Source organism: Homo sapiens, chromosome 7 (assembly GCF_000001405.40).
Source record: "Homo sapiens chromosome 7, GRCh38.p14 Primary Assembly".
NCBI lineage: Eukaryota > Metazoa > Chordata > Mammalia > Primates > Hominidae > Homo > Homo sapiens.
The window spans coordinates 37090669-37110142 of record NC_000007.14 but is presented as its reverse complement, the minus strand read 5'-3'; the positions used below and the strand labels follow the sequence as shown (position 1 = coordinate 37110142).

The 19474-nt window shown below is 42.0% G+C and overlaps 1 protein-coding gene across 14 annotated transcripts in view; it reads left to right on the top strand.

Annotated features, from left to right (window-relative positions):
* The window catches only part of ELMO1 (engulfment and cell motility 1), a 596421-nt gene that overhangs the window by 339184 nt on the left and 237763 nt on the right, over positions 1-19474 (top strand). For all 14 annotated transcript variants that reach the window (NM_001206480.2, XM_011515654.3, NM_014800.11 and 11 more), the window contains one exon: positions 13416-13524. In NM_001206480.2, the coding sequence (NP_001193409.1) occupies positions 13416-13524 (109 nt within the window). The remainder of the gene's footprint in view (positions 1-13415; positions 13525-19474) is intronic.

Sequence of the window (19474 nt, the reverse complement as noted above, 5' to 3'; positions counted from 1 at the left end):
CTGATATTTCAACACTGAGGCTGTTTATCACGGAGGCTGCTTGGGAACCAAGAGCAGCCAGCCTCTCTGCAGTACCCACTACATACCTCATGTGGCAGGGGAGGACCTGGTTCATCCCAGAGGGCAATCTGGAGGCGGTCAAGGTTGCTTCCTGGTAAAAACCACGAGCGTTCATTGCTGTGGCCTGCAACACTCTCTTCCCTTTTCAGTTCATATCATCAGAGGTCTTTGTCCATTGTTGAGGAATTAAGAGAAATGTCCCATGCATCTTGTTCTGAAGAAATATATTTGAGTCTCTTGCTTTCCACTTTTTACTTTTCACCTGAAAGCGTCCAAGAGTTAACTGAGAGGCAGGCCAGTCTTCAGGTGGGGAAGACCGGGTGGGTGTTGAGGCAATGTTTCCAGCTGGAATGGGGGACTTGGAATCAGAACTGTTAACCAATAAGAATGAAGGGGAAGGAAATCCTATTAGGGGGCGTCATCACCTAGGAAACACGAGTCAGTTTCCTTTTCTGCACTCCAACATGGAATGCTGAGCCTGGAGGCCCCTTCACAGATTGTCCCTTCTCTGTTCCCCACCCTCACACTCCCGGATCCCCTGGGCCTTATCTGGGGAGGGGGGCGGCGGAGGAGTGCAGAGTGGAGGCAGCGCGTGGGGTGTGTGGAAGGGAAGGGGACATTCTTTTGCTGTGGGAGTTGGCTCCCTCTCATCTCATACATTTTCCTGCTGATTCTCACTCACAGCATTTACAGGAAGCATTTATAGCAAATACTTGCCAAATGTTTTCCATAAACACACAACGAAGGACATTTTTCACACATTCCAATGTTCTGTAAATGTTTATTTTCACAATACACAAAGAAGGTTGAGTGTATGGTTTTCCTAAACAAGCCTTTGAAGTGTGGGCTTTGGCCCAGGGAGATTTGCTTCTGAGTGTTTTCATCCACGTGGCCGCATTGTCCCTGGGGGCACACCAGGCACATGCTTCAATGCAGAGAGTCTCCAAGTGAGTTTTCCCCCCAGCTTGTATTCTCTGTGGGAATACGTGCCCTGAATGCTGAGTAGCCTCTGGGTTCTGAGCCTCCTCCTGATGAAGAAGGAAGTTAGAGGTTCTCAGTGCATCACATAAACCCTTGCTTCTGATTAAATCCACAAATGACATAGAATAGGGAATATGGAGGACAGGGATGACTCACTTAAGATGCATTTGAACATATAGTTGTAATAAGTTATGGAAACACTCATGCTAAAGCCAGGCAAGTTGGTATTCATGTAAGGGATGGAGAAGGTGACTGAACCTTCTGTGGGCACTGCCAGCCTCACCAGAGGCCAGAGTCATGACTCGTACTGTCCATGCACTTGTTCAATAACTGCTTCATTACTGAGCACCTACTGTATGTGCAACTCTGCTGCAATGTCAGAGATTCACAAGTGAGGAAGTGGTTCCCAACCTCAAGGGGTTGACTCTATCAGGGAAGGTAAGACACCTATACTTTACCATAATTTGGGGGCATAAAATGGGAATTGTTTTAAGAAAGATACAGATAAAAGGTTATCTCACTTGGGAGAAAACTCACTTGGAAAGTCTCTGCAATGAAGCCTGTACCCGGTGTGCCCCCAGGGACGATGTGGCCATGTGAATGAAAAAACTCAGAAGCAAGTCTCCCTGGGCCAAAGCCCACACTTCAAAGGCTTGTTTAGGAAAACCATACATAAGGTTTTATTGCATAAGGTTTTATGGAGAAAGTGACATCTGGATTGGGTCTGAAGGAGAGGGAAAATTGAGACAGGTGTGGGAGGGGCAGTGTGTCAGGGAGGGGTGTCGGGGAGGCAGTTTCCCTAGGAGGGAGCCATGTCTGGGCCTAGCCTGGTAGGAGAGCTGTACCAGAGGGAGATCCTTCCTCTAGCAGGAGTAGGCAAGATTTATGATTCATACACAGAATGAGATGTGATGAGATGAACTCCATTTAAAAAGCTAGATGTAATAGGAAGAAAATATTTCCTTTTCACATGCTTTTTTAACCTCAAGTAAAACAACTTATGGCCTAATTTCTTAATTAGGTTTCAGTCAATTTTTTCATTGCAGCTAACTTGTCATGTGCATAATCAGAAAATTAACATTTTCTGTTTGATAATATGTTCCTGAAATGGCCAATTTATTATTTGTCCAGAAGAGGATAGTAAGAAATAGTTCTCTCTCCTCACCTTTCCATCTTCTCAAGTCCGTTCTCCCAAACCAGAGTGAATTTCTAAATCAATGTGCTAAGTGAGAAAGTGAGGTGAGTGGGAGCTGACTTAGACAGATTCATTTTATCACTAGCTTTCCTGGAATGTGTTTGTTTTGTAAAATGAATTATATTCAAATATGTTTCAGACAATATATGTGGTGGTTAACTTTGCTTTAAGACAGCAGTAACTGTTCAGACAATGGTGACAATTTCTCAGTAAGAAGTCAGGGTTGAGAAATGTCAAGCTTAATTTTTCATCCAACAGTGACGGTCAGACAAAAGCCAAACCTCTTGGTATCTTTGCACTCCGGTGAAGGAGATGTGAGGCATTTGTATTCAGTAATGTAATGTTGAGCGAGTCAAAACCCTGCCATGTGATCTTGAGATTTGTTGCTTAATACTGCCCAAGATGCATAGGGGCTTCTCTGCTTTTATTCAGCATCCATTTTCCCATTGTAATTAGTCTTTCTTGCATTCCACAGCTCACTTCTGGTGTGGAATGTTAAAAAGATGCCTTAGGAGAGAGTTTGACATCAGTTTCTTCTTCAAGGTTGAACTCAAGGCTCACCCTCTCCATGAAGCCCCGTCTGCCCATTGCATCTCATGTGCACCTTCACTGCACAAAGTGATACTTCCTTGTGAAAAATGCAAACAATATAGAGGTACATAAAAGGAAGTGAAAGTTGGCCCATCTTACAAATCCCATGTCCTTGTATCTTCCAAGTAGATTGCAAGACCCTCAAAATGGACTTTTGTTCATACATGTATTTTTAATATCTAGCAAGTTGCTCAGCAATAATTGCTTAAAAATATTCATGGAATGAATGAATTGGTCAAAGGGTAATACACTGTAGGGATGTTGGGAAGGACTAGGGCTAGAATTCAGCTGATAGTTTGGGGAAGCAGTGCCTTGATTTTCAAAATATGGACCCTGGACTTGCAGCGTCAGCATCATCTGGGAGCTTAGAAATGTGGGACCTCAGGTCCCAACCCACACCTACTGAGTCAGAATCTTCATTTTAACAAGGTCTCCAGGTGATCTGTGAGTACTTTAAAGTTTGAGAAGTACTGGGATTGTATATGTCTGCAAAGTAATTTACAATGTGAACTTTAAAAAAAATTACAATGAAGTGTGTGTGGTTTGCATTAAAGAGTATGCAGTAGAGGAGTTCTGCCTTAATGATACCACAGGACTTTGTACCAATGCCACACTTTGTTCCCCTCTGTATGACAGGGCACACCCAATGCCCTGTCCTTGGCTGTCCTGTAGGACTGTCATCCTGAGCCATTTCAACACCTGTAGTGTCTTCGTCTATTTTTGCTGCTTTAACAAAATACCCTAGACTGGGTAAGTTATAAACAATAGAAATGTATTTCTTATGGTTCTGGGGACTAGGAAGTCCAAGATTAAGGCATCAGCGGGCTTGGTGTCTGGTAAGGGCTGTGCTCTCTATTTCCAAGATGGTACCTTGGCGCTGCATCCTCTGGAGGAGAGGAGCATGATGTCCTTTCATGGTAGAAGGGACAGAGGGCAAGTGAGAGCCTCCTTTCAATCACAGGCCCTTTTATAAGGGTGCTAATCCCAGTCACGAGAGAGAAGCCCTCATGACTTAATCACCTCCCAGAGGCCACACCCTTAATACTGTTGCATTGGGGATTAAGTTTCAACATGAACTTCGGAAGGGGCACCATCATTCAAACCATAGCAGTGTTCCTTCTAAACAGCACGCAACTTGTTTAAGCTCTAAGGCATGGCTTCCTCATCTGTAAAATGCAGTCCTGCTTCAATGGCTTGTGAGGACCAAATGAGCTAAACGCTTGAGAGTTTGCACATGATAATCATCTAATATGTATTAACTCTTTTTTGTTAATCGAGATGAAGTGCATATACCATAAAATTAACCATTTTAAAGTAAACTGTTCAGTGGCATTTAGTACATTCACAGTGTTGTGCAATCACTACCTCTATGTAGATCCAAAGACATGATCATCATCCCAGAAATAACCCCATACCCGCTAAGCAGTGGCTCCCCATTCTCACTTCTCAGCCCCCGGCAACCACCATTCTGCCTTCTCTCTCTATGGATTTTGACTCTTATTAATGATTTTTTTATTAGTCACAGGAAAAACAAAACAAACCAAAACCAATCAGATTTATTTCTTTTTTGTCTACTTTCATTGCTTTGCATGTCTTTAAAAACAAAAGGTTTGCTAATGATGGAAATTGGGAATGTAGATGTGACAGACCTGTAAGTCAGTGGTTCCCACAGTGTGGTCCAAAACTGGCAGATCTGTGTTAACTGGGAACTTGTTAGAAAGGCAGATTCGTGAGTACACCCCAGAATGTCTGATCATAATTCTGGGGGTGGAGTCCAGCAATCTGCATTTTAATAAGCTTTTAGAGGATTCTAATAGAAGCTCAAGTTAGAGAACTATTGCTTTAAATAAACCTGGAGTAAAGCCTACAGGTGCCCCCTACACCTGTACCCATCCTTGGGGCCAGGAACACACGTACTGGCATAAAAGGGGAGATTTTAGCCTACCTTCTTTGGTGGGGAAGTCAGCTGGGGGATTGCCCCTGATACCTCCTGGCCTTTGAATAGTCAGCAGAGCTTGGCTTCCCTCAGTAATGTTGTGATTACTGTGTAGGCACAAACAGAAGTCATCCTGCTGTTATTTAATCCTTTGCCCTCTTTGTGCTACCTGAGGTGATGCTCAAAGGGAGGGCCTTTCGGCAAAACGTGGCTTTGATTGCTCTGTGTGTTTTGCGCGTCCTGCTTTTGTTGCACTATATCAAAGTGCAGGGAGCATTTCTTTTTGGTTGATTAATGTTCAATTTGAGGTCTATTATGAAGCTCCAGGCTTTAATTACTATACCATTACCCAGTCAATTCCTTGCCATTTTATATTTATGGCCTTTATTATGCCTCTGTATGTGCAATTGCCTAATTTTATTCTGGAAGCATTTCACCTCATTAGCTGGGTTTTATACCATTCCTCTCATTTGTCCAGATTGTTATTTATCTTGGTTCCCTGTGTGCGTTTTCTTTTCTTTTTTTTTTTCCACCAGTCTGACTCATTATATTAATACATTCTTTTTCTCCTTTTCCTGGGATGCATTGTTATTTGGCTCTTGGAAATATCGCTTTAAGTTTTTTGTCCTTTTCCCTGGTCGTCAGTTATACTCACATTCTTAACTTGGTCATTTCCAACCTTCTGAAAGCCCATCTCAGCTGCCTGGCAGCACTGGCCCTGTCCAAAGGCCTGAGGCCTCCGCAGCCTGGACATACCATGGATGGCCGCCTCTCTCTAGGTGACCAATTAAAGCTCAGGGAAGGTGAAGGGATGGAGTTTTTACTTAAGGGCATGCTGGTGAAAGTAACTTTTAAATATTCTCTTAAATCCTTTTCTAACTCTCTCTCCCTCAATCCCCTCATTGTCTCAGAAAACTTCAGGACTTGGTTTACTGACTTATTTTTGTGGGTTCCACCTCAGACCTTCTCAATCAAACCCTAGGGGAGCCTCCCAGCAGCCTGCGTTCAGTATGTTCTCCAGGTGATTCTGACACACATTAAAGTTAGAACCACTTTTCTTTTTTTTTTTTCATTCTGAGAATGCTTTATTTTGCAGTACCATATAATTTTAACACACCAAATATATTTTACAGTAACAATTATATTCTTCACTCAGGCATAAGATCACCTGAGTTTGTGGATGTTTCTCAACAGGTTGTTGTCGTAGCATTTGGACAATGTGATTAGACAACACCCGGGGAGGTGGTCATTTCCAAACTGGAAGTTGTCCAGCATTATTAGGAACGTCTTGACTGGAAGAAAATTATCGAACATTAGTTTGGTCCTTTCTCTGTTCTTTTTTTTTTTTTTTTTTTTTTTTTTTTTTTTTGAGATGGAGTCTCACTCTCTCACCCAGGCTGGAGTGCAGTGGCGCAATCTCGGTTCACTGCAAGCTCCGCCTCGCGGGTTCATGCCATATGCCATTCTCCTGCCTCAGCCTCCCAAGTAGCTGGGACTACAGGTGCCCGCCACCATGCCCGGCTAATATATATATATTTTGTATTCTTAGTAGAGATGGGATTTCACTGTGTTAGCCAGGATGGTTTTGATCTCCTGACCTCATGATCCGCCTGCCTCGGCCTCCCAAAGTGCTGGGATTACAGGCATGAACCACTGCTCCCAGCCTTCTCTGCTCTTTTATTTTTTTTATTTAATATTTTTTATTATACTTTAAGTCTTAGGGTACATGTGCACAACGTGCAGGTTAGTTACATATGTATACATGTGCCACGTTGTGCTGCACCCATTAACTCGTCATTTAACATTAGATAACCTAATGTTAGGTATCATAATGCTATCCCTCCCCCCTCCCCCCACCCCACAACAGGCCTGGGTGTGTGCTGTTCCCCTTCTTATGTCCATATGTTCTTATTGTTCAATTTCCACCTATGAGTGAGAACATGCAGTGTTTGGTTTTTTGTCCTTGCGATAGTTTGCTGAGAATGATGTAGAACCACTTTTCTAAAGAGATGCTAAAAGAACTTGAGGAAACCCATGTAAGTCAGAAATATGATTTCATCCAAGTCCTTACTTTACCAAAAAAAGCAAGATTAATAACTGCTACAGCAACCATGTTTTGTTTTCTGTCGTGCTTTTTCAACAGCTTTTCCCAAGAGCGATAAGAATATTTCAGAAATGCAAATAGTAATACCTTGGAACAAGCGTTTATGTAATTATTATGGTGATAGTAGTATCAGTTGTCTCCATCAAGTGTTTGAGGTGTTTCAGGCACTAAGGAAATCTTTACTTCCATTTTGCTTTCCCATTTAATCTTTACGACCCTTTATGGATAAGTATTCCTTCACTCATTTTCATGGAGAAAACTGAGGTTAAGGGATATGTACAAAGTCACCAAGAAGTAGACTTTGTCTGTTAGAAATAGATCCAGGAAGTTTGTTTCTGTCCAGAGCCACAGTGCTGATCACTCCTTTGTGACCATGTGAAGGCCTTTCCTGCTCAAAGCTTTATTACTGTAATATTTCACCCTTTCTGTTTTCAATAGGAATTGGTAACCAAGAATATGTGCTTTGGGGTTAGGCCATCTAAGCTTCCATGCTGGGTCTGTTTATTTCTGTGCTGTGTGACCTTGGACCAGTGACACATCTCTTTGTCTCTGTTTCTTCATCTGTACAGTGAGATGGCTTAGTATTTTGGCATGTGCTGGTACACGTGTGTGGAATGAGACAATCTGTACAAAGCCCTTCAAAGAAGGCCTGGGAGAGAAATGCTTTCTATAAATGTTAGCTGTTAGCTGTTTGTTGCCTTTTGCTGCCATCTTGATGGCATCCCTAAAGCTTTTTTCTTTTGGGTTTATTTACTTCCAGGTCTCACTTCCTTTCTAGGTAGATCTGGTGAACTAGCAGCCTGTGGTTCTGATCTGTTCCATTTTGTTTGTGTGCTTGGCACACTTTCTATAATTTTAATGTTCTTCTTTCTCTGCTCATTTAAAACCATCCTATTAGGGCTTGGACATGTTTGTTTAATTCTCTGGACTTGATTGAAATTCATGATCACAATTAACTTCTTGTGCAGCCCCCTTGAGGCAGCTCAGGGTTCTTTCTCATGATGGTCTTCAGTTTTCTTGGGACCAATCATCATTAGCATTGGCACCAAGGGAGAATGAAGGAGAAGTGACTCCCGAGTCTCCATAAGAGGAATCAAAACTGGGCTTATTCTTTGACCCTGGGGTAGGTCTGGGTCTTGGGATATGATCTAAGGACTAACACTTCATTCTGGGGAGTTGCCTGATACTATTCCTAAGGGGACATTGACCCTGTGTTGGAATGTGGGGAGATCTCATTGATACTGATAAGGCTTCTTATTTATTTGTTGATTTAGTATGGGAGAAGATCTCCAATGGGTCAGGAAACAGATTTGTGACATTGACAAGGATTCTGAGGACAATTGCCCTATGGTGGCTGGAACGCTTTAGTTTGAGGACTTTATTGCCAGAAACACCATGTCATGCATTGACTTGTTTTCTGCGGTTGTGATAACCTACCTTGTTTTAACCTGAGTGACTCTCTCCTAGGAGAGAGAGCCAGACAGACTCCGTTTTAGTGTCTTCACTCGCAGCCCCCTTTATCCCCCTTAAGAGAATAACCAGTGCAAGCTGACTCCAAGCACATCCAGGAATGCACCTGCTGATAAGATACTGAGGCAGGCTATACCAGCAGCTCCTGGGAATGTGCTCGGTGGAAGGTACCTAAGAGCCCCTGCATTTATCTCTTAGTGATAGTTTAAGCCCCTGCACCTGGAACTGTTTATTTTTTGTAACTGCTTCTATAACCAATTAATTTTTTAACTTTTTGCCTGTTCTGCTTCTGTAAAACTGCTTCAGTTAAACTCCCCCTCCCCTATTTAGACCATAGTATAAAAGAGAATGTAGCCCCTTCTTCGGGGCCAAGAGAATTTTGAGCGCTAGCTGTCTCTCGGTCACCGGCTAATAAAAGACTCCATGATTTGTCTCAAAGTGTGGCGTTTCTCTGTAACTCACTTAGTTACAACAGGGTCCTTGTTCGTTCTTCACACTATTGTCACCCTGCATTCCTGCGGGAGAGCCCTGCTTAAACAGCAGCACATGGGACTTTTTATCTTGCATTCTTGGTGTAAGCAGGTGAGGACCTACTTTTATCTCTCTCTCTGCCTGTCATGCTAAAACAACCAGAAGGCCTCTGGTTTACTTTCATGAGTCCCTAGAAGCCTGTCATCAGAGAGCCAGTCTCACTGCAGTCATGATTTTGGTTTAGCTGCTGGTAAAAGTGTTGTGTGAAATGTTGGCCATGGGCCATGCAGAAACAGGAAGAGAGAGCACAATAAAGAGATAAAAACACGAACTCTCTGAAGGCAGTTTTAGGGACTTTGCCTTTGTTGTGTGAGTTGATATGCACGACAGTCCCATGAATTGGGTTTTATGTAAGGTCTTCGTATCTCACAAAGACATGCAGTGCCTCATGCAAGTTCATCCTAGTTGGCGGCACCTTTGTCCAAGGTCACCACATTATCAGTGCTTCTCATAGCTGCTTTGTGTCCCCTCTCTTTGCAGACAGTACCACCTCACACACACTGTCCTTCGTGTGGCCTGTGGGGAGGCCACTATGCCTCACCTGACCCTAGGTTAAGTCAAAGTGAAATGGAAAAAGGTTCACAGTGGAAGAGAAGCCTCCACAGGTGACAGGGCATGGAAGAAGCCCTCAAGCCCTCAAGGGCTGGCTGCAGGAGGCACAGAATGAATTGGGCTCTCCCCCAAAAGAGAGAGCTTCAACAGAGAGTGGAAGAGAGAGTGTGTCAGAGACAAGCAAGTGAATATAAATCAGCCATGTGATGCTGAGGCAAGGAGGGCAAGAGAGCCAGAGAAGGGATTCATATTTGAGTGAGGGTGGCCTTGGACTCAACACTTCATGGTCATGCCCAAGCCATAAATGTTCCTGATCTACACAATTGGAGAAGAGCGACAAGAAACACAGAGCATTCAGAGGAGAGCCTGGAATTTATGGAAGTAAAGTCTGTGGGGACACTGCAGCAGCTTTGGTCACTCACCATGAGGAATTGTCATCTTCAGGGGATAAATTAGATGACATAGAACCTTATAGCTTTGTCTAGGAGGAACAGGGCTTATAGACAACTTCAAGGAGACAGAAGAAATTGACCAAAGTCCCCTTAGCTTCTTTAGACATGAAACCTACTGATTTTCATGGTAATATGTATGTGAAGCCAATTTGTAAACTATAAGGAGACAGGAAGAGATTTGGTCATTGGAGAGGGATCACCTGAGGTCTGGAGTTCGAGACCCAGCTCGGCCAACATGGTGAAACCCCGTCTCTACTAAAAATACAAAAATTAGTTGGGTGTGGTGGTGGGCTCTTGTAATTCCAGCTACTCAGGAGGCTGAGGCAGGAGAATCGCTTGAGCTTGGCGGGGCGGAGGTTGCAGCGAGCCGAGATTATGCCACTGCACTCCAGCCTGGGCAACAAGAGTGAAACTACATCTCAAAAAAAAAAAAAAAATTGAACTCCAGGACTGACACAGGCTAGCTCTGGGATGCTAGAAAGTCACCTCTGCCTTTTGTTTCAGCATTCTTAAGAGACTAATAATACCTACTTTATTAATGGATGGACTTGTTGGAAATCAATTGATAGAGAATGTATAAATATACTCTGTAAACGATGAAGCATTTTATAAAAATATAACTTCACATTGCACGGATATCCAGTTTTTTTAAATAAAATATGCAGAAAGAGTTTATTTTGGTGTTTGATATATTCTAAGATGAGTGGTAATAGCACCTTTTAGTACTTCATTTTGATTTCTGTTCTAGCATATTTGCTCTTAAAACTGAAGAGTAAGGGGAAAATAAAGATGAAAAATATGCTTTGATATTTCCAAATGGAGCTTTTCAAAATGTCTCCGATGGACATGGTTAATATCAGAATGTTGAAATTGAATGTAGATGTATCAATGTGTTAAATAAAAGCTATTGTCCAGCTTAAGAATTATCTCTCACTATAGTAATATCTAACTAGTAGCATTCATAATTGTAATCTTTTCTACAATATTTTTGTAAGAAGGTTGATCTTAAAAGTTACACAAGTAGCTTTAAATATTTGTGTCTGCCTTGACAACAGAAATCAGTCAAGAAGGCGGCGGGTTTATTTTTCTTTAGGTGGGTAAGTATGATAAGATGGATGGTGCATTAAAAAATAAAGAGCAGGACTTCTCCAAGCTGATTTACATATTGATTACTTAAATTACTACTTAATTTAGTGCCTGCTAATAAACTGTGCCTTGGAAATGTTTCCCAAGCATTTATTGGCTGCAGTAATTCTACCTACAGTGTATGCAGATCACAGCCTCATTAAATATTAATGTGCTCATGAAATGTTAATAGAATGTTAATGTGAAATACAAGGGAATGTGCTCGCTGGAAGCTGGGAGCCGAGGAAAACTACCTGTCTTCTGTCTTCTCTTTATGTTCTGTCTTCTGGCTCTGTTTCTTTTTTTCAGTTCATTTCTCCCATCATTAGGAGCTTCAGATTTGCTCTCTGATCTGGCTGTCTCAGATACAAAATATTTAGAGGGGAGATAAAATTCACTGATTAATGGAACTTATTCTCCCCTCCTGCTTTCTGGAATGGGAATTTCTGGTTAGAATCAGAATGGTTTCCCTGAAAAGGAAAAGGGTGATTCAGGCTGAGTGAAATGAAATTGTCTATGCTTGGGCAGACTGAGTGCATATGTTTTGGGGAGGCCAGCCCACTGCCCAGCTCACCTCAGTGGGCTCTGACCTTCATCTCTATCTGGAATGTTCTTTCTCACATACCTTGACATAGCAAGGTCTTTCTCATCGTTTGATTCTCAATAGTCCGAGAACCTTCCTTGATCACCTGGTTATCTAAACTCCCCTCCCCAAGCATTCCCTGTTACTCTCTGTCACTCAACAAGTTATTTTTTATTTTCATAGCACTTGCGATAAACTGTAACTACCTCTTTTGTTTTTGTGTCCTTCAATTAGAATGAATGCTTAATGAGGTCAGGGCCCTTGTCTATTTTATGGGGCTCAGCCATCTTCCTGGTGGATAACAGGTGCTCAATTAATACTGTTGACTAAGTGAATAAAACACCTGTCCCTGCCACTGAAGAGTTCATATTCTGTGGAGGTGACAAAACAGTGAGTCACTGCACAGCATCATTGTAGATGCTACTGAGAGATGATCATTCAAAGTGGTGTAGCTATTAAGGAAGTCCCAGACAACTCTTACTGGGGATGAGTTTTGGAGAAGAAGCTTTAGACATGGATAAAGTTCCATAACTTGAGAGTTTTGTTATTTTGTTTTGCTTTTGTTTAATCTATGTGTAGAGTAATTCCCTTAGTTGAGAGTGTTAGGAACATCTCAAATTAGCTTAAGAAAAGAGGATAATTTATTAGATGGACAAAAGGATTTTCAGAGGAGGGATTGAGCAACGAAAGGGGAAAGACAGGGAAGTAGTTGTGCTATAGGAACAGGGGGACCAGTAGGAATAGGTGGAACCAGTCTCAAACACTTCTAGGTCTCTTGCTGTCTCTTGTCTCTGTTTTACTTTGCATTTTAGTTTTATTTTCTTTTTTCTGAGGGCCAACATCCAGGTAACTCCTAAGTCCACACTCCAGGGGCACCGTCAGCATAGTTGAGCCAGTATTCATTCATTCTTTCATTCATTCATTTTTTCTTTCTTTCTTTCTTTCTTTTTTTTTCTCTTTCTCTCTTTCTTTCTCTTTTGAGGTGGATTCTCACTCTGTCACTCAGGCTGGAGTGCAGTGGCACTATCTTGGCTCACTGCAACCTCCGCTTCCCGGGTTCAAGTGATTCTCCTGCCTCAGCCTGCCCCCTAGCTGTGATTAAAGGCACCTGCCACCGCACCCAGATAATTTTGTTTTTATTTTTAGTAGAGAGAGTAGTAATTTTAGTAGAGATAGTTTTTATTTTATTTTTAGTATTTTATTCGCCATGTTGGCCAGGCTGGTCTCCAACTCCTGACCTCCAATGATCCGCCCGCCTCGGCCTCCCGCAGTGCTGGGATTACAGACGTGAATCACCATACCCGGCCCCAGTTTTTCTCTTAGTATGAAGTCTCAGGGAAGGACTGTGATTGGTCCATCATGTCACATTTTCCAGGCATGATTTATTCAACTGATGCCAGAGGGTAAGATCTTGTAAGAATATGGACTTCCTTGGAAAATATCCTATTGAAGTTTGAGACTGAAGTCACAGAAGGAGTTACTATTCCCAAGAAAAGAGGACAGAAATGGGAGGACAAGAGAGTTGTTTGGTCACTGAAGTGAAAAAGTCTTTATTGTACTATTCCAAAACACTCTCCAGGCTTCTCTGTGTAAATGGGAACGAACAAGCAAAATATCCTCTTTTACAGGGTTGAAGAGGGTTGTCAAAGATTTGGGGGGGATAAATGAGACTTTTCGGTCCTGTATACTTGGAGTACTATTTTGTCCTGGCCCCAAGAGTCTTCGTTTGGGGATCTGAAGTGGATCTATGTATTCATCTATTGGAATGAAGGTGATATTCTTGATGTTTTCCACAATTGAATTTCCTTTCTAATCTGTTCCCTTTCCCATTACAGATTGTGCTTGAGAACAGTAGTCGAGAAGACAAGCATGAATGTCCCTTTGGCCGCAGTAGTATAGAGCTGACCAAGATGCTATGTGAGATCTTGAAAGTGGGCGAGTTGCGTAAGTATACTTATTTCCCACATGGGTGTGAAGCTGGCAGAGTCCCAGCTTCCAGGGTTGTGCCCCTACCTGTGTGAAGAAATCCCAAGATGCCGACAGCTTCTTACGGTCATCACTGTGGATAGGTTGATTATTATTTGGCTCAGGTTTACAGCATACATACTTTTGCATGTCTGGTCTGGAAGTAAATGTGATTAAAACCTATGGGAATGGAGAAATTTGCAGATCATTGTGGCTGAGTTTCAAATATCATGAAAATGAGTACATATTAAAACAGGCTTGCTTCTGTTCAGGAAAAAAAAATCTATGGATTTCTTTTTTAAAATTCCAGTTTATAACCTACCAGTAGATCATTTTCTTTTCTTTCTAAGCAATTTTTCTCTATAAAGAAAAATTGAATACCTTAATGAAATTCTCTTGCTCTCAGTGTTTCTGTTGTTTGGAATACTTTCTCTAAGAAAGAAGAAATTATTAAAGAAAATGGGTAGCTGAAAATGAAAAATGTGGTCAGCAATATTTTTATTGCTCTTTTTCTTATATCACAAAATTTATGAGAGTACATACAGAAAAAGAAAGGATGATAATTTTCTTGCCTTTTGTTCATTGGCATAATTTAGCTTTAATCTACCAAGGTGGATATGATTTAACCTGTCCCTATTATCATTGTCGATGTTGAACCTTCTTAAAGTGGTTTACTTCCATTCCATCCAACATCTAGAAGCCAGCACACATATAAATCTTTCCGCACAGGCTTAATAACATGAGCACCAGAAAAGACTGTTTATACCAGAAAAATGTTGGGGTGTTTGGTATTACTGTGAAAACATAAATATTCAGTTGCCTGCTCGAGAGCTTAAAATAATGGCCTGAAATGATTAATGGGAGGAATCTGATGATTACATTGGAAAGAGAGTTATGTTTTATTTACAGTGTAGAACTGACTACAGGTACTGCTGAAATAAACTAGAAAATTTAATACTTAGTAAGGAAAAATACTAAGAAATTGAGCCTGGTTGGCCAAGTGGAAAACTTTATCATCTTCCAGTGTGGGCTCATGGGAGGAAGCAGCCAATGATGACATGGAACATGAGCATTTTTGCATTAGAACAGTAGCAGTGTAACCTGAGAGATCTCTGCATTCACCTACTCTGGTTTACAGCTCACCAAATGTGAAGATTTCTGTTTACATGGATCCTTGACTTGAGTTATCCTTCTTACTCCCTAATTACACTAACTCGCTGAGATTTCAGTGTGCAGTATTGCTTACTGTTTACTCAGCTTAAGGATGTAAGTCCTAAATCAAACAAATCCTGCTGAATTCCTCTGTCTGATAACTGTGACTGTTTCATGTTTATCTCAATTTCATGGGGGAAATTGGTGAAAGTTGCTGGCTGGAAAACATGTCTGGACCATCTGGGAGTTAATTTTCAGTAACTGGAGTGAGTAGTGGTGTTCTACCAGGCAGGTGTTTCTGTGTCCAAGGTACTGCTCTGCACTGCCCTTGGTTGTCTCCTCCTTTCTGATGACAACCTTTGGCTGTTTATGCTCATCTTGATGGCAGCAGAAGGCCCACTCTCCATGTGTACCTTCACTCATGTTCTATGACATGCCGTGCCCAGCTATCTGCTCTTCTCCTTTGCCCAAGGGACATATGTCTGTCCTGCTAAAAGTAAACACATAAGAGTGATCTGGTGTAGGAGGTAGAGATTGCTGGGAATAGAGGGGAACTGAGTTCAGCTCTGCTACTTAGGGCCTTGTGTCCCTGAGTGAATTACTCACAAACCGCACTGTGCTCCTACACCTCCAGGTTCTCTCCAGAGCAGAATGTCTAGAAATGGATTGGAAGTATTTTGGGTGGTGATTTGAGTAGTTGTGTTCATTTTCTGGCTGAAATTGCAGTGATCTCAGTGAGAGGAGCTCTATGGGAACAGTCTTATTCAACCTGGGGGGAATAGTTTGGAAGAGATGGTTGAATTCCAGAGCAGGTGCAGGCAGGGTAAACATGACCCTGATGTGGGCTGGCCTCTGGGTCAGTGGATCCCCATCCAGTGGGTGGAGGGGACCTCAGCTGGCAAGAATCTGGGCAGGTAGTCCTCCTCAGGTGAATGTTCATTTTGTGCTTGGGGATGGGGTGGGGACAGAATAGGGGATAGAGCTTGACCTCTGGCAGGTGTAGAGTAGCCCTCCTGGCCTTTCCAGGACCTGGTGGTCAATCCAGGAATCAGGGCAGAACTCCATTTGTGGGCTGAAGTAACAGAGTGGAGATGAAGGCAAACACCTCGCAGGTCCCTGGAGATGCCACAGATGCTCTTCATGCACTGAAGACTGTTCCATCTCCCACCTTCTGATGGAGAGAAGACTCCCAACATTCTGCCACAACTCACTCAGGCCTGGTTTCTGCATTGAGACTGGGCTTGGACAGCTGAGGCCTGGCATTGTCAAAGCAGTCTCTCTTCACCTAAGACGACAAACACATTTATTAATTTGTTCAATGAAAATCTATCCAGTACTTACAACATGCCACAGACTATGAGGGACACTGCAGGTACAAAGGAACCAGATATGGTCCTTGTCCCCGAAGGAGTTCAGAAAATTTCCTATACACTTCAGAAAGTGGAAGAATGAGCTGGGACTGATACTTTTTCCTATGAGTTTTGTCATTATGTTTTTTAACGCATGCCCATCATCTGTCCTGAAGAATAATTTCCCCAATGTTGTGATAGTCATAAGTTTAAGTTTTTAGTTTGACTTATTGCTTGCCATCATCTGCAAAGCCCATTCTGGAAATTTGTCAAGGCTTACAAAACACATTCATGTTTCTGAAGCCTACATGCCCAGATGAGTTGTTTTCTGCTCATAAAATATTAAGGATTGTTACTTTCTGATTGAATGCTAGACACCAAATGATAAAACACCCTGTGGTAAGAGCAAAATTGCTTTTTAATGGATTGCTTTTTGCCCATTGCCATATTAAATAAGTTACTAATATGCAAAGCTAATCTGAATACACCCTTATGTTGAAAGAAATGCCTATTTTTCTTCTGAGGAAAATTAGATTTACACACAAATCTATCTTCACTTGGTTTGTATGTGATTATTTTTCTCCATTCCTAAGTTCATAGTTCTGAACACTTCTCAGATTTGTGTTAATAATTAACCTTGAAGACCATGGTCACTTTAGTTCTATAAGCAAGTGCTAAGACCAAAGAAGTACTCAATTAAAAATCTAACTGCTGGGGAGAAAGGATGTTTACAAAAGTAGAAAGATCCAATTTTCTAGAAAGCATTTCTCTTTTGATTTTAATTTTTGGTCTGTTGAGGAAACCCACCTCTGAAATACCAATTATATTTTGGTGTCTAAAGCAAACATATTAATGTTCAATTAATTACTGATACCAAATATTTATGTTCAGTTTTCTAAGGTTGCTTTAAAAAAAAAAACAGCACTATTTTCCTGCTTCCCAATTATTGACATTGCAAGAAGCAAATGTTACCTCTAATAGCGTGGTCCAAAATAATGTCTATTTACATTCTCAGAGCACTTTGTCAAGGTTATTCAGTTGAAGGCTGTAACACTCTCAGGAGTTAATCAAGAGCAATGGCATCTATGTTTATTAGTGAAGGGAAGACTTACTTGCACCTACTGCGTATCTGAGTTTACTGAGCTCAAACTGGAATTTAGGAAGCCAAAAAAAAAAAAAAAGAAAAAGAAAGACAGTGTAGACAGAGGCAAGAAAGTAGAGTGATTGCATTTGGGCATCTGAATGACCCATCTTGGAATCACAGCTCAGTCACTGGCTGTATGCCTTGAGAATGTTTCTTCTCTGTTCTGAGCCGCTGGTTCCTTATTTATGAGATAAATGAGGAACTGTGCTGCACGCAGTTGGTTGGAGCCTGAAATGAGATAATGGATGTTGTCCTAGTTAGAAGATGAGTAATTTTAGGGCCGGATGTGTTGGCTCACGCCTGTAATCCCAGCAGTTTGGGAGGCCAAGGTGGGCTGATCACAAGGTCAGGAGATCAAGACCGTCCTGTCTAACACGGTGAAACCCATCTCTACAAAAAATACAAAATTAGCCGGGCATGGTGGCGGGTGCCTGTAGTCCCAGCTACTTAGGAGGCTGAGGCAGGAGAATGGTGTGAACCTGGGAGGCGGAGCTTGCAGTGAGCTGAGATTGCACCACTGCCCTCCAGCCTGGGCGACAGAGCGAGACTCTGTCTCCAAAAAAAAAAAAAAAAAAAAAAAAAAAAAGAATATGGGTAATTTTTTTTGCAAGTGATAGAACCTCACTTTCCATGAGCAAACTGAAAGTTAGGTGAGGAGGGTGCTGTGGCATAAATGACAGCTGGATCTAGGGCCTGGAACAATGTCCCTTGTTTCTTTATCTTCTATATATTGGTTAAAAGTTTTCTTTTTAACCTGCTTTATTCATGAGGCTCTTTTGTGAGCAAGACATATTTTCTCTTAGTTTCAGTTTCAAAAATTACAAAGAAGAATACTTAGGGACCTGGATGTGGTCACATATCCCCATAGCCTGAATTGGATAATTGGCAGCCCCAGTCAGAAGAACAAGATTGAAGATTGAGGGATGATATGGTTTGGCTGTGTCCCCACCCAAATCTCATCTTGAATTGTAGCTCCCATAATTCCCACGTGTTATAGGAGGGACCCAGTGGGAGATAATCAAATCGTAAGTGTGGTTTCCCCTGTACTGTTCTCATGGTACTGAAAAAGTCTCACGAGATCTGATGGTTTTATAAGGGGAAACCCCTTTTGCTCCGTTCTCATTCTGTCTTGCCTGCCGCCATGTAAGACTTGCCTTTTGCCTTCCACCATGATTGTGAGGCCTCCCCAGCCACGTGGTGCTGTGAGTCCATTAAACCTCTTTTTCTTTATAAATTACCCAGTCTTGGGTATGTCTTTAGCAGCAGCGTGAAAACAGACTATTTCAAGAAAGGAGCAAGTCTTCAAAAGAAGAGTTATATTCCCTGCACACTGACCCTGTGTGTGCAGGGTCAGTGAGAGTGGAGGGGGCAGGGAGTGGTGCCCTTACAGAAAACAGGAGGCATAGCACAGATGAATACACATGTGCTTACTGTCAATGTGAAGTCATTAAGAAGATGCCCAGCTCCTAGCTGGGGAAAAAGAAATGGTAGCTATTTTTTATTGTTGTTATTAAAGCACTTGTCCTGAAAGAAATAATAAATTATTGGCTGGGCATGGTAGCTCACGCCTGTAATCCCAGCACTTTCAGCGGCCGAGGCGGGTGGATCACCTGAGGTCAGGAGTTCGAGACCAGCCTGGCCAACATGGTGAAACCCCATCTCTACTAAAAATACAAAATTAGCCGGGCATGGTGGTGCATGCCTGTATTCCCAGTTACTCAGGAAGCTGAGACAGGAGAATCACTGGAACCCAGGAGGCAGAGGTTGCAGTGAGTCGATATTGCCCCATTGTACTCCAGCCTGGGTGACAAGAATGAAACTCTGCCTCAAAAAACTAAAAACATAAGTAAATAAATACATTGTTGATGAGTGCCAGGAATACTTGATTTCTGGTACAAATGGATCAATTACTCTCTTTTGAATAGGTAGAACCTTACCCAATTATATTCCGATGTCAGGTACAGCTAAGATATTTTATTTTCCTCACTCATTCATTTATTCACTTAATAACTGTAGGGCACCTCTATGAGTCAGGATCAGGGTCACTGTGGACATGGATTTAGAACCCATTCTCCATCCTCAGGCAGCTCACACTAACTGGAGGGTCCTTCACATAAATAAATGATTATAAAACATTTTTCCATTTGTAACATTACATTTGAGTCACATTCATATCTCTGGGAGGCAATACTTCATTCCTTCTGTTTGTGAAGAACTGGGCAGGGCTGGGGAAAGGAGAGTCTTGCAAGGTGTGATAGAGAAGAAGAGATACCTGCACGTGGGG